A 12,879-nucleotide genomic window follows, 5' to 3' on the forward strand; every position below is an offset into this window, starting at 1 on the left:
CCCGCCTTCCGGCGCCCGCTGTTGGCCTTGGCCGCAGCCAGGGCGCTCCAAGTAGGAAGATAAGCGGGATTGCTGGAAGCGGGAGAGTCGGGAGGAGCGGCGAAGGGCTCCTCTTCCCCATTGGCTGCGCCCACGGAGCAGCCTCGTTGCGATTGGCCGTACGCGGGGGGCGGCAGTCCCGCGTCGGCCCGCCCCTCGGGCCGCGAGAGGCGCCGGGATCGCGGGCGCCGGCTGAGCCAGCGGCTCTTGGGAGGCTGCGTCCGCACGCCGGCGGGGCGAGGCGGCCCGGCCCTGCGCGTCAGGTCCTGGCCTGGGGCACCTGGGCGGCCGGTGGCGGGGGCGGTACGGGCGTGGGGCTGGCGGGCGGCCGAGCCCGGGAGGCGGGCGTGGGCGCGGCCGCACCGGGGCCTGCGCGGACCACCCGCGGGGCAGCCTCGGGCCTCTCTCCATCTCTTAAGTGGTGGTGGCTGTGGGTTTTTCTGCAGGCGATCCTTTTGAGTAATTTGTTTCACGCACGCGCCCTGCTGTGGGGTAAAGCGGCAGATTCATGCTGCTGTCATTTGTCGTTAAAACGATGGGCTCCCTGTTATGTGTGTACTTCTTGGATTTGAGGGCAGGGGGATGACATTGTGACTTGGCTTCCTGTGACCGTCCATTCTCAAGGTCTCGTCAGCGTGGTGCAGAAACTCGGCACACCCTGCCTACCTTGGAAGGAGGCTTTCCCTTCCCCACCTCCCTCTCCCTCCATCTCTTCCCTGTTTCCCTCTCTCCCCTTCTCTCCCCTCCACCAGCTCTTCTCTCCCCCCTTTCTGTTCTCTCTCTCTTTTTTCCTTTCTGCATTGAACCTTTCGGGAGTGTCTTTGTAAACTATTAAAAAGCGTTAGGTCTTCAACGTATGTGTTTACTTGCAGGCCTGAGACCTGGGAGGAAGCTGGAGAAAAGATGCCCTCTGAATCTTTGTGTTTGGCTGCCCGGGCTCGCCTCGACTCCAAATGGTTGAAAACAGATATACAGGTGGGGTTTGACATGTCTTTTTCTTGGTGTGTTTCTGCTTCCATGTTTAAATTTCTCGTGTAAAGCTTTTTTTTAGGGTATGTAAGGGGAAGTCAGTTGTATCTTGCTGAATTAGAGGAGCAGGTTTATTTCCTGTAACTTAAAATGTAACAGTCTTTATGGCTGTTTTTGTAGATCGTGCGCGGCTGCCTTTTAATTAGTTTCTTGTAAGTGCACGAAACTTGAGATCTATTAGTAGGCAAAATTTTTTTCCTATTTATTATTACTGGTTAAGAAATCTGCCACACTCCTAACCATATCATGGTGACTGTTGTTTGTTACTGATCGTTTTTGAGCTGTTGAGTTAACTGTGGAGGGGAAAATTGGAGAAGTAAGTTGCAGTAATTATGGCCTGTAGAAACTCACTGACTTTATGAGGTCTTGTGTTTGTGTTTCTGGAGAGGTGAGTTAGTTCAGTCGAGCTATTTGTTTTGTGTTTGTAGCCAGTACAAGGTCTAAGGATAATTGTGTTGAAACTGAAGTCATGATGTTGGGATCTTAAGGGCTGAAGGTTCCAAATAAATGGTATATATAGAATTCTCTCTGACTTGAAATTTTCGCTTTCTGGACCTCCGGATGCTGAGGCTAAGAGTGTCCATATGATAGTGCCTTCCATGGCAGGAGTCAGCAACCTTTTTTTCTTTTTTCTTTCACGTATCTGTGATTCATTCTGTATATTTTAAAAAGTTTTAACCTCTTCTTTCTAGCCCTCCAGTATTTGTTAATAAATTAAAACGTTTCCCGAAGTGTTTTTTGTGAAACAATAATTCTAAAAGATGCTCTAAGAAAAGCTAAGTACATGGAAAAATCCAAAGTATATGTTTTATTTATTACCTTTGATGAATTTGTTGTTTGCTTCTTTTTCCTCTCGAGAGGGTGTCTTGCTCTGTCGCTCAGGCTGGAGTGCAGTGGCATGATCTTGGCTCACTGCAACCTCCGCCTCCCTGGTTCAAGCAGTTCTCTGCCTCCCTAGTTCAAGCAGTTCTCTGCCTTAGCCTCCTGAGTAGCTAGGATTACAAGCACCCTTCACCATGCCCAGCTAATTTTTGTATTTTTGGTAGAGATGGAGTTTCATCATATTGGCCAGGCTGGTCTTGAACTCCTGACCTCACGATCCGCCCGCCACAGCGTCCCAAAGTGTTGGGATTACAGGCTTGAGCCTCCCCGCCCGGCCCATATTTGATGAATATATTTGTCCTTTGTTCTTTTAAAAATCGTGGTTAGAAAGCAGAGCATAATTGTTCTTTATGTAGATCCCAACTGATTGGGGTTTTTAGGGAGATTTTCTGGCATTCAGTAAATGTTTTTATTTTCTATTATTAAGGCTATGAATATTTTGTTTTATTTTCTGAGACAGGGTCTTGCTCTGTTGCCCAGGCTGGAGTACAGTGGCATGATCTTGGCTCACTGCAACCTCTGCCTCCCTGGTTCAAGCAATTCTCCTGCCTCAGCCTCTCGAGCTGTTGGGATTACAGGTGCCTGCCACCACGCCGGGCCAATTTTTGTATTTTTAGTAGAGTTGGAGTTTCACCATGCTGGCCAAGTTGGTCTGAAACTCCTGACCTCAAGTGATCCGCCCGCCTCGGCCTCCCAGCGTGCTGGGATTGCAGGTGTGAGCCACTGCACTTGGCCCATTTTCACTTTTCATTAGCTGCTTTTATCCCCCATTTATTTCCTACCTTTCTGTGTATGATTTCTGAATTCAATGTGTTTCATGTCTTAACCTTCTGAATTGTTTGTTCTCTCATTTTCCATGTTGTTAAGGAAAATAAGAGGCTAAGTGAGACATACTAAATTTGCATGTAGTTTCTCAGATCAGGATAAATGCTCACCTGTTGCAGAACGAGACTCTGCTGTTGCTTTACCCAGGATGTGTTTCCTAGTTCCTTCCTAGAGTGGGGCCACACCCTACTCCAGCCCTCCAGACCCAGCTCCCTGCTCTGACATGATTCCACCAGACTGTATTCCAGCTGTCTTCCCTAACCTGGACCTAGATATTTTCTTTGTTTTTTTGTGTTTTTGTTTTTGGTTTTTTTGTGATGACGTTTCACTTGGCGGTCCAGGCTGGAGTGCAGTGGCGTAATCTCGGCTCACTTCAACCTCCGCCTTCCAGGTTTAAGCGATTCTCCTGCCTCAGGCTCCCAAGTAGCTGGGATTACAGGCACGTGCCACCAAACCTGGCTAATTTTTGCATTTTTAGTAGAGACGGGGTTTCACCTTGTTGGCCAGGCTGGTCTCGAAATCCTGACCTTGCGATCTGTTCGCCTCGGCCTCCCAAAGTGCTGGGATTACAGGTGTGAGCCACAGCACCCAGCCAACATTTTTTTTTATTAAAAAACTTATATGAAATTTATTTTATTGTGGTATCTAGTTGAGTAAATTTTGATCTCTATAGATTCATGTAACCCTCATCATCATCAGGACGGAGACGTGTCATCACCCCAAAAGCTCCCTTGTGCTGCTCCTTTTTATCACCTGTTCCCTGGTCTCATACCCTGGCAACCACTGATCTGTTCTCCATCAGTATAGGGTATTCTTTTTGAGAATGTCATGTGAGTGGAACCATATTTTAAGTAACGTTTTGAAACCATCTTCATTTATTCCTAGTTATATGTTTGAGATTTGTTGTTGTTCTGTGTATTAATAGTTCTTTTTATTGCTGAATGGTATTTCATCATTTGGATGTACCACATGGTGTTTATCCATTCTGCTATTGTAGGACCTTGTGGTTGTTTCCATTTTTCTTTCCCAATTGTAATCCTGCTGTGAGCATTTCTGTACAGATTTTGTGTGAATATAGTTTCCATTTCCCTAGGATAAAGACCTAGTAGTGTGAAAGTTGGGTCATGTGCTGAACTGTTTTCCGAAGTGGCTGTTTTAGTTTGCATTCCCACTGGCAATCTGTCACGTTTCTGTTGCTCTGTGTCTTTGTTAGCACTTGGTGTTATCAGTGTTTTTTAGTTGAGCCATTCTAACAAGTCTAGTGGGATCTCATTGTGGTTTTAATTTGCACTTCCGTAATGGCTAAGAATGCTGAGTATCGTGTTCTTCTTTGCCACTCTTGTATCCTCTGTGAAGTTTCTGTTCAGATCTTTTGCACAGAAAAAGCTGTATCATGGAACCAGTAAAATAACCAAGGAGAGGTTGATTAAAGTTCTGTTTATAACCCTAGAAGATTCCTGCCCTAGGGATATGGGATGGCTGAACGTAGGACACCGACACTGGACAGATGAAATAGCAGTTTATTAGTCATGCATGCTCACAGCCCTGGGGTGGGGGACACCGCATGCCACACGGGGGCTGCACTTGGGAACAGAGTGAACCACGAGGGGCTGTGGAAGGCAAAATTTGTAGTAACAGGAGGGTGAGATGACCTTGCTTCCATGGGAAGATGTGATTGGCTTGTTTGAATAACTCTGGGCCGGCAGGGATGAGCAGACTGGAGTCAGCTCTCCGCCATAAGGAGGCTGTTTGGCTTTGGGACCTGATCTGTGGGAGCAGAGCTTGGAGGAGACCTTGTGGTTAGGCTATTTGAGGCCTTCTTGATTTTACCGACGTCAAGGCAGCACATAATATTTAGTCTTCATTTCAGGCCACACAAGACATTCTTATATATCTACACTCTGTGGCACTTTTTGAAGGGTTTTGTCCTTAGTGTTTAGCAGTTGATTATGATGTGCCTTGTCATGGCTTCTTTTGGATTTATCTTGTGTGGGCTTTGCACAGATTCTTTAATCTGCCTGGGTTTATGTCATTTGCTGAACCTAGGAAGTTTTCAGCCATTAGTTCTTTGGATATTTTTTTCAGCATTCACCTTTTCTCTCCTGTTATTAACCTGTGGGGTCTGTGCTAATTCTAGGTAGTTAGTTTCAGAATCGAATTGCATTGTGGGACACATAGCTGGGTGTCACAAAGAACTGGAGAACTGCTTGGTGCAAAAGTCCATACGTTTGATGTCAGAAGTGTTGTAAACAGAGGAACTGTTTCCTTAGAGATTTTTAGATACTCATTATTTGTAATCTGGATGGGATATCATGTCTTTCACCGATTGAGATACATTTTTCTAATTATGTTGTTTAGACATTTAGTCACAGCCTTCTGTGATGGAGTGTGTTTACACTTCAAGGTTAAGGTTCTCTCTTCTCTTCGCTTACTGTGTAAGGAGTTTTATGACAGTTGTTTTTGACTGAAACTTGACATTGTCAGTGGCCTAAAGTCATTTTTCTCAGCTTTTCCTTTGTGTCCCAGTGCTCTTGAATTATGCTATCAGTCACAGTGCCCCTGCATAGCACTGCTTCCCAGTTGGCAGTGGAGTAGGGCCTTGTAAAGAGTTAAAAGATTTTTGAATCATACTCCTGTTCTACACCCTCCCTTTTCCCATGGGTGCACATGCATTGGGACTCACTGGATAAAAGCAATTGGTGTGAAACTGAAGTAGGTAAATATCAAAGACTAAGTTTCTCTGTTGTGAAATCTACTAGGAAGCTAATGAAATATCATTTTGGAAGACATGCTTTAAATAATTTGATATATTGGTTTGTTTTCTTTTCTTTTCTTTTTTTTTTTTCAGATGGAGTCTTGCTCTGTTGCCCAGGCTGGAGTGCAGTGGTGCCATCTTGGCTCACTGCAAGCTCTGCCTCCTGGGTTCATGCCATTGTCCTGCCTCAGCCTCCTGAGTAGCTGGAACTATAGACGTCCACCATCATACCTGGTGAATTTTTGTATTTTTAGTAGAGACGGGGTTTTACCATGTTAGCCAAGATGGTCTCCATCTTCTGACCTCGTGATCCACCCACCTCGGCCTCTTAGAGTGCTTGGGATTACAGGCGTAAGCCACCACTCCCGGCCGATATATTGCTTTATGAAAATTATACTGGATCTGTTACAGGTACGATTGATGTATTTTATTTTTAAGTTGTCAAACGTTCAGTTAATGATGTGTGTTGTAACTTTTCGGGGAGGGACATTTGCAGAGACTGACAGATGGTATGGCATTCTGAAAAGCGGTTACAGATTAAAAAAATTTTAATTCTGCAGATGATAGTGTTGAACCAAGTGGAACAAAGAAAGAAGATCTGGATGACAGAGAGAAAAAAGATGAAACTCCTGCACCTGTATATGGGGCCAAGTCAATTCTGGAGAGCTGGGTATGGAGTAAGCAACCAGGTAATCTTTGATCAGAGATAGAAATTAGTGTAGACATTTTGCCTCCAGATCCTCAAGTGGTTTTAGAAATTGGTTCTCTAATTCTGTGGGAGAAGGTTGATACTGGTATAGTCTTACACGTCATTGAAACTGGAAAAGATAGCTAGATATTCTCCTACTCATGTTTTGGATAATGAGATAAATTATTTTATGCTTCACACACTTGGAGTATGTCATCTACTGTAATATAGTATCTGAATGAATACTTTAAATAAAATACATTTCTGTAAATTAATTGTATACTTTAAAAATCTGTGAATAAATTTGAGTAGCAAGTCTCAGAAGCTTGATTCTAAATATTAAAGATACATCCTTCCTTGGGAGGGAGCATGTAGCAAATGTGTTACTGTGATTGTAAGCATGCTGTCTTTCTGGAGGTCGCTTCGTTCCTGCATCCACTGTTTTCATTTCAGGGATGTTCACGGAATACCAGGCACTAAAGGGCCAGAATCATCCCCCTACAGGACCAGCACTTGGCCCTGGCCATCCTGCTGGAGCTGGCTGTGCAGAGAGGCATGCTGAGGTGAGGGCTGGTGCAGACCGGGAATGCTTTGGGGAAGCGCCTCTGTATCCAAATACCTGTTGCATTGTGTGCGTTTCACTGAATCGTGTGACTGCAGCAGGTGTGGTGCTCTACAGAGAACCATGTCCCAGGGCTCTCTCTTTTCCTTTTCTTCACTTCCTGTTTTATGCTCAGTTTTCTAGCCTGGGAACTGTTCTTCTTTTTTTTTCTTTCAGTTTTCCTCATTTAATTATTTTTATTCCATGAATTTAAGACCCTAGATCTTCATGTAAATGTGCTCTTTGAGCTTCTTAACTGGTCTTTCCTATCAGCAGAAGGCGATGTCTTGTGCTAAAATCTCAGTGTCAATTCAGTGATTTAACTACCACGGCTTTACTTTCGTTTCCTTTCATATCCCAAGTATTTCTTCACTTCTATCTAGCTGTTTGCTTTTATTTTTGATCAACCATGAAAAAAAAAAAAGTTAATCTGTTTTTACTAGGAATAAATATGTTTTCTTCTTTAGCCAAATGTTGTCTGCCATCCTGTTGTTGCTTCAGCTGTGGGACAGCGGGGCACAGGAGACTGACAATGAGCGTTCCGCCCAGGGCACCAGCGCCCCGCTTTTGCCCTTGCTGCAAAGGTTCCAGAGCATCATTTGCAGGAAGGATGCACCCCACTCCGAGGGCGACATGCACGTGAGTGTCATGATGGAACTTTGTGTTTAGGTGGCACTCGAGTCTAGTTATTTTTTACGCAAGACCAGCGTGCTTGTGCATGGCAGTGTTTTTCTCTGGTGTCTGTGTGTTTGGTGGTAACAGCAGCGAGTCAGATGAGACAGGTGTGGGAGGCCACTTGTTTGTGGAGAAGACTCAGATCAGTGCGCGCCGACTTCCTTGTCAGCACAGAACCAAGCTTGAAACATGCACTTTTAAATCAATACCAGAAAAGAACAACGAAAATAGTGGCTTGCTTTGTTGGCCCTTCCTTTGTACTGGGCTCTGTGCAGGGCATGTCACCTGAGCTGTCACTGTGTTTAGTACCAGCCCCCCCCTTAATAGGTGTGGACGTCTTCCTGAACAGCCTGAAGCAGACGGTGGTGACCCTGGCAAGCAGCGCAGACGTGCTGAGCACCGAGCAGTCGGCCTCCCAGGCCATGCTGCAGAGCGGCTGGTCCATGCTGTTGCCCACCGCTGAGAAGCAGGCCCGGGCACTCTGCTCTCCTGCCCTGCGGAGGTGGGCTCGGGGAAGGAACAGGAGAGGCCATGGGTCAGGGTGCTGGGAGGGGATGGCGTTTCACTCAAATTGGCACACACTTTCTATTTCAGTTTCAGGCAATGAAGTGAGCATAAGTCCAGGTCATCGATTGGTGATTGATCTTCTGGTGGGCAGCTTGATGGCTGCTGGAGGGTTGGAGTCAGCCTTACACGCAGCCATTACTGCAGAGATCCAGGTATGGCCTTGGAGGCACACGTGACCTGGTGGTGGGCTGAGATCGGAAATACCACACTCACACATGTGAAGAATAACTGAAAACAGTAAAACACTAAACTTATATCCAAGTATTTTTTTAAATTAAAATTCTTTTTTGTGCTAATTTTAAAAATTACTGAGATGATTTAATTGTGATAAAATACTGCATGTTGTCTGTTTCAGTGAAGTTAACAGGTAACCTGTTCCTCATGTAGACCATTCCCGTCACCCGGAAAGATCCCTGTGCTCCTTGGCACTTGCAGCCAGGATACTCCCCTGCCCTGAGATTAGATTCATTTTTCCTGCTCTGAGTGTCGCAGCAATATAACTGTATAGTATGCACTCTTTCCTGCTTTGCCTTGGAGAATGATTTTCAGATTCGCTCACTGTTGTGTGTATTGCGACTTCGTTTTTATTATTGGGAAGTTTTCCATTTTATAGGTGTAGTACTGTTTGTTAGTTCATTTTCCTATTGAAGGACATGTAATTGTTTTTGGTTTTTGTTTTCTTTTTTTTTTTTTTTTTTTTTTTTTGAGACAGGGTCTTGCTCTGTCACCCAGGCTGTATACAGTGACCTGATGTTGGCTCACTGCAGCCTTGTACTCCTAGGCTCAAATGATCCTCCCACCTCAGCCTCCTGTGTTGCAGGGACCACATACATGTCACCATGTCCGGCTAGTTTTTTGATTTTTTTGTAGAGACAAGGTTTCACTGTGTTGCAAGGCTGGTCTTCAACTCCTGGGCTCCAGTGATCCCCCCACCTTGGCCTCCCAAAGTGTTGGGATTACAAGCGTGAGCCACCGCGCCCAGGCTTTCTGGTTTTTGGCCGTGTAGAGCTGCCACAATTGTGCTGTGAACAAGTACTTCAGTGAACATATGTTCTCCCTTTGGATAAACACTTGGAGTGGAATTTGTTAGGTCCTGGGGTTAGTGTGTGTTCATAGTTTCCCAAAGTGGCTTTGCCATTTGCATTTGAACCAGGACTTTTGTGTGTGAGAATTCTAGCTCCTTCTTGTCCTTACAGAGCAGCTGGATGCTGCGTGTGTGGAGCCGATCACATTGGGTTTTGTGTGAGCCATTAGCAGGGTTAAGGATTTTAGGGACTTCACAGAAGGAGGCTGGAGAGCATCAGCAGAGGCAGCCTAGACCTTGGATCTGTAAAAAGAAGACACTGTTTGAAACTGCACAAATGAGTTGGGGTTTCCAACAGGGCAGGTGGGGGCCTGTGGGTGGATGGGTGTGGCAGCCACAGAGGCTGGGATAGCTTGGCACTGGGGTCAGGGCTCAGCCAGCCTGTGTGCCTTCACACCTGGTAATGAGATCACTTGTAAACAATTTCTGTTTATCAATTACAGGATACAAAAAAAGAAGCACGGAAGGAAAAAGAAATTTATGAACAGGAAGCAAATGCCTCAACATTTCATAGAAGGAGGACTCCATTGGATAAAGGCCTTATTAATACGGGGATCTGTGAGTCTTCTGGCAAACAGTGTTTGCCTCTGGTTCAGCTCATACAACAGCTTCTTAGGTAAATCATATTAGCTGTATTGTATTGTGTTTTATTTATTTACTTTTTTGTTTTTTGAGACAGAGTTTCGCTCTTGTTGCCCAGGCCGGAGTGCAGTGGTGCGATCTTGACTCACTGCAACCTCCGCCTCCCAGGTTCAAGTAATTCCTCTGCCTCAGCCTCTCGAGCAGCTGGGATTACAGGCATGCGCCACCATGCCCCACTAATTTTGTAGTTTTGTTAGAGACAGGGTTTCTTCATGTTGGTCAGGCCGGTCTTGAACTCCCGACCTCAGGTGGTCCATCCACTTTGGCCTCCCAAAATGTTGGGATTACAGGCATTAGCCACCACGCCTGGCCTATTTATTTACTTATTAATGGTGTTTTTTTTTTGTTTTTTTTTTTTTTGAGATGGAGTCTTGCTCTATCGTCCAGGCTGGAGTGCAGTGTCACGATCTTGGCTCACTGCAACCCCCGCCTCCTGGGTTCAAGCTATTCTCCTGCCTCAGCCTCCCGAGTAGCTGGGACTACAGGCGTCTGCAACCACACCTGGCTGATTTTTGTATTTTTAGTAGAGATGGGGTTTTACCATATTGGTCAGGCTGGTCTCAAATTCCTGACGTCAGGTGACCCACCTGCCTTGGCCTCTCAAAATGTTGGGATTACAGGTGTTAGCCACTGTGCCTGGCCTGTATTGTATTTTAATAGGTGATTATTGGTTTTCATATTAAGATAGTGAAATCTAGCGCAAGGATCTCAAAAATTTGTTTGATGATTGAAGGAATATTCTGAAAATTACCTAGTATAGATGTTAGGATAAAGAGCAGACCCTTTTCAATATAGGTGAGAGGAGAAGTTGGAGGGTGTGATGATACTCAAAAGTTTTTCACTGAAGAGAAATTGGGGCGTGCAGTAAACATGTAAAAAGATTCTTACTAATAAGCAGGTGGATGCAAATGAAAATCATCATGGAAGGTTATTTTTAAAACTGGTTCTATCATTGCCTCACTTTATATATTACAGAGTTATACATACTACTTTGTAAGATAACTTTTCTTTTCAAAACTGAAGTCAATGTGATAGAATGGTGAGCATTATTTTGGAAGGCCAGACTAGGAGGAGGTGGGAGGAAGAAGTCAGACTCAGCCTGTGAACAGACGCTAACCTTGGCAGAAGCCAAAACAGTCAGACAGTGTTGTCTAAAAATGATCATTCAAGAAGAGCGAAACAGCAAGGTGATTTGTGAAAGAGATTTATTAGAAAATGAAACACATTTATACCTCTGTTCAATAAAAATCTGCTTTTCGTCAACTGATGCTCCTGGTTTTTGTTTCTACACATAGAGAAAGCAGAGCCCTGGCAGCTTGGGTCAGGCAGCCGAGTACAGACCAGGGAGCCCTGGGCAGTGGCTGCAGCTCTCAGCTGGCCTGTTCATGGGGCCATGGTGGGTCTGTGGCGTGGGGTGGGCCTGTGGCGTGGGGTGGGCCCGCGGCGTGGGGTGGGCCTGCGGCATGGGGTGGGCCCGCGGCATGGGGTGGGCCTGCTGTCCACAGCCAGAAAAACTAACTTAGTGCACACACAGTGAAATTTTGAAACAGGAAGTTTTAGAGCTAGTTTCTGTCATAGATTTTAGTAAATGCTATTTTGCAAAACCTTTTTCTGATGTTTGTTTTGTTTTTCTAATCTGATAATGCATATTTCACACATTCTGGTCTTTAACAAATGGAAATAAAGAGAACTAAACAATATAGTTTGTGTCGATGGAAAGAGCTTGGGATTTGTTCTCAGAAAATTTCAGTTACAACAGTTTGTTCATATAGGTGGACTTCCAACACAGTAACTATGGGAGTAAGAATAAAAGCTGTGTTTACTTTCACAGAGTTAATTAAGAATACATGAGAAAATGGATGTTAAAAACCTTGTAATTAAAATGTACAGTTACATGCAAAGTTTTAAAGTGAGCATTTTCCAGAGGTGCTTTTCTAAGTTCTTGAATGCCTCTCCCTTTTCTGAAGTGGCTGCTTCGTGGGGCTGTTGGTCTTTGGCAGGGGGTGAGTGCAGGGTTCCTGTTGTGGGTCCTTTGTTCTCACGAGGGCAGTGCCCGTTTTCCCCGTCTCCTGCTTGCCCAGACTGTTCCCGTGCGCAGAGAGACTGGCCTGTTTGACCTGCAGCTGTGCTGTTTGAGCTGCAGCTGTGTAGCCTGCGCTGGCCCATCTGGCTACACTCAACACCGTTTGCTGATCAGCACTTGAAGTCTGTCCGTCATAGCTGAGACACTGAATATTTTATCTGTTTAATTTTTATTCATTAAAATGCAGGTTTGAAAATTTGATTCCGTTATTAGAAAGCACTTAAGTATGTTTAGAATCACTTGGCCTTGGGAGTCTACTTTGTCAACTGTGTATTTTATGAGTCTAAATGGAGATCAGATGTTTTCAATGCAAATTTCACGGTCCAAATTGAAATGTGTTACATATGTAAGCTACTCAGATGGTTTTTGAGGACTTAATATGAAATAACCTATGTAAAATATCTCAATAATTTTTCTTAGATTGATTTCATGTTGAAATGGTCATATTTTTGATCTGTTGGAATAACTATGATACATTATTAAAATTATTTTTATTTTTTAAGATGGAATCTTACTCTGTTGACCAGACTGGAGTGCAGTGGTGCAATCTTGGCTCACTGCAACCTCCGCCTCTTGTGTTCAAGTGATTCTCCTGCCTCAGCCTCCTGAGCAGCTGGGACTACAGGACTACAGACTCCCGAGCAGCTGGCACTACCACCACGCCTGGCTGATTTTTGTATTTTTGTAGAGACAGAGTTTCACCATGTTGGCCAGGCTGGTCTCGGACTCCTGACCTCAAGTAATCTGCCCGCTTTGGCTTCCCAGAGTGCTGGGATTACAGGCATGAGCCACTGCAACCAGCCATTATTACAATTAATTTTATGTGTTGTTGTTTTTCTTCTTGGTGTTTTTTTTTTTTTTTTTTTTTACTTTTGTTAATGTGACTAAGAACAATTTTTTTTCCCCACCCGGAGATGGATCCTCACTCTGTTGCCTGGACTGGAGTGCAGTAGCACGATCTCAGCTCACTGCAGCCTCTGCCTCCTGGGTTCAAATGATTCTCCTGCCT

General features: G+C 44.8%; 1 non-coding gene across 29 annotated transcripts, besides 1 other annotated feature; it reads left to right on the top strand.

Moving 5' to 3' along the window:
- Positions 181-400: a silencer, noted in NCBI's record as "silent region_6262". NCBI's record gives its function as "represses an Ori minimal core promoter by ATAC-STARR-seq in GM12878 lymphoblastoid cells {active_cell/tissue: GM12878}" and the evidence as "EXISTENCE:reporter gene assay evidence [ECO:0000049][PMID:35858748]".
- LOC102723564 (E3 ubiquitin-protein ligase HERC2-like) lies at positions 239-11,050 on the top strand. Of its 29 annotated transcripts, none has more exons than XR_007064518.1 (9): positions 239-302; positions 912-1,014; positions 5,624-5,941; positions 6,091-6,219; positions 6,636-6,781; positions 7,287-7,458; positions 7,822-7,996; positions 8,089-8,213; positions 9,589-11,050. It is a non-coding gene; the product is annotated as an E3 ubiquitin-protein ligase HERC2-like (transcript). The 29 variants fall into 29 exon arrangements; XR_007064515.1 differs by having other exon boundaries at positions 7,844-7,996; XR_007064525.1 differs by having other exon boundaries at positions 7,321-7,458.
- The last annotated feature ends 1,829 nt before the right edge of the window (positions 11,051-12,879 follow it).

Source organism: Homo sapiens, chromosome 15, assembly GCF_000001405.40.
Source record: "Homo sapiens chromosome 15, GRCh38.p14 Primary Assembly".
NCBI classification, from domain to species: domain Eukaryota; kingdom Metazoa; phylum Chordata; class Mammalia; order Primates; family Hominidae; genus Homo; species Homo sapiens.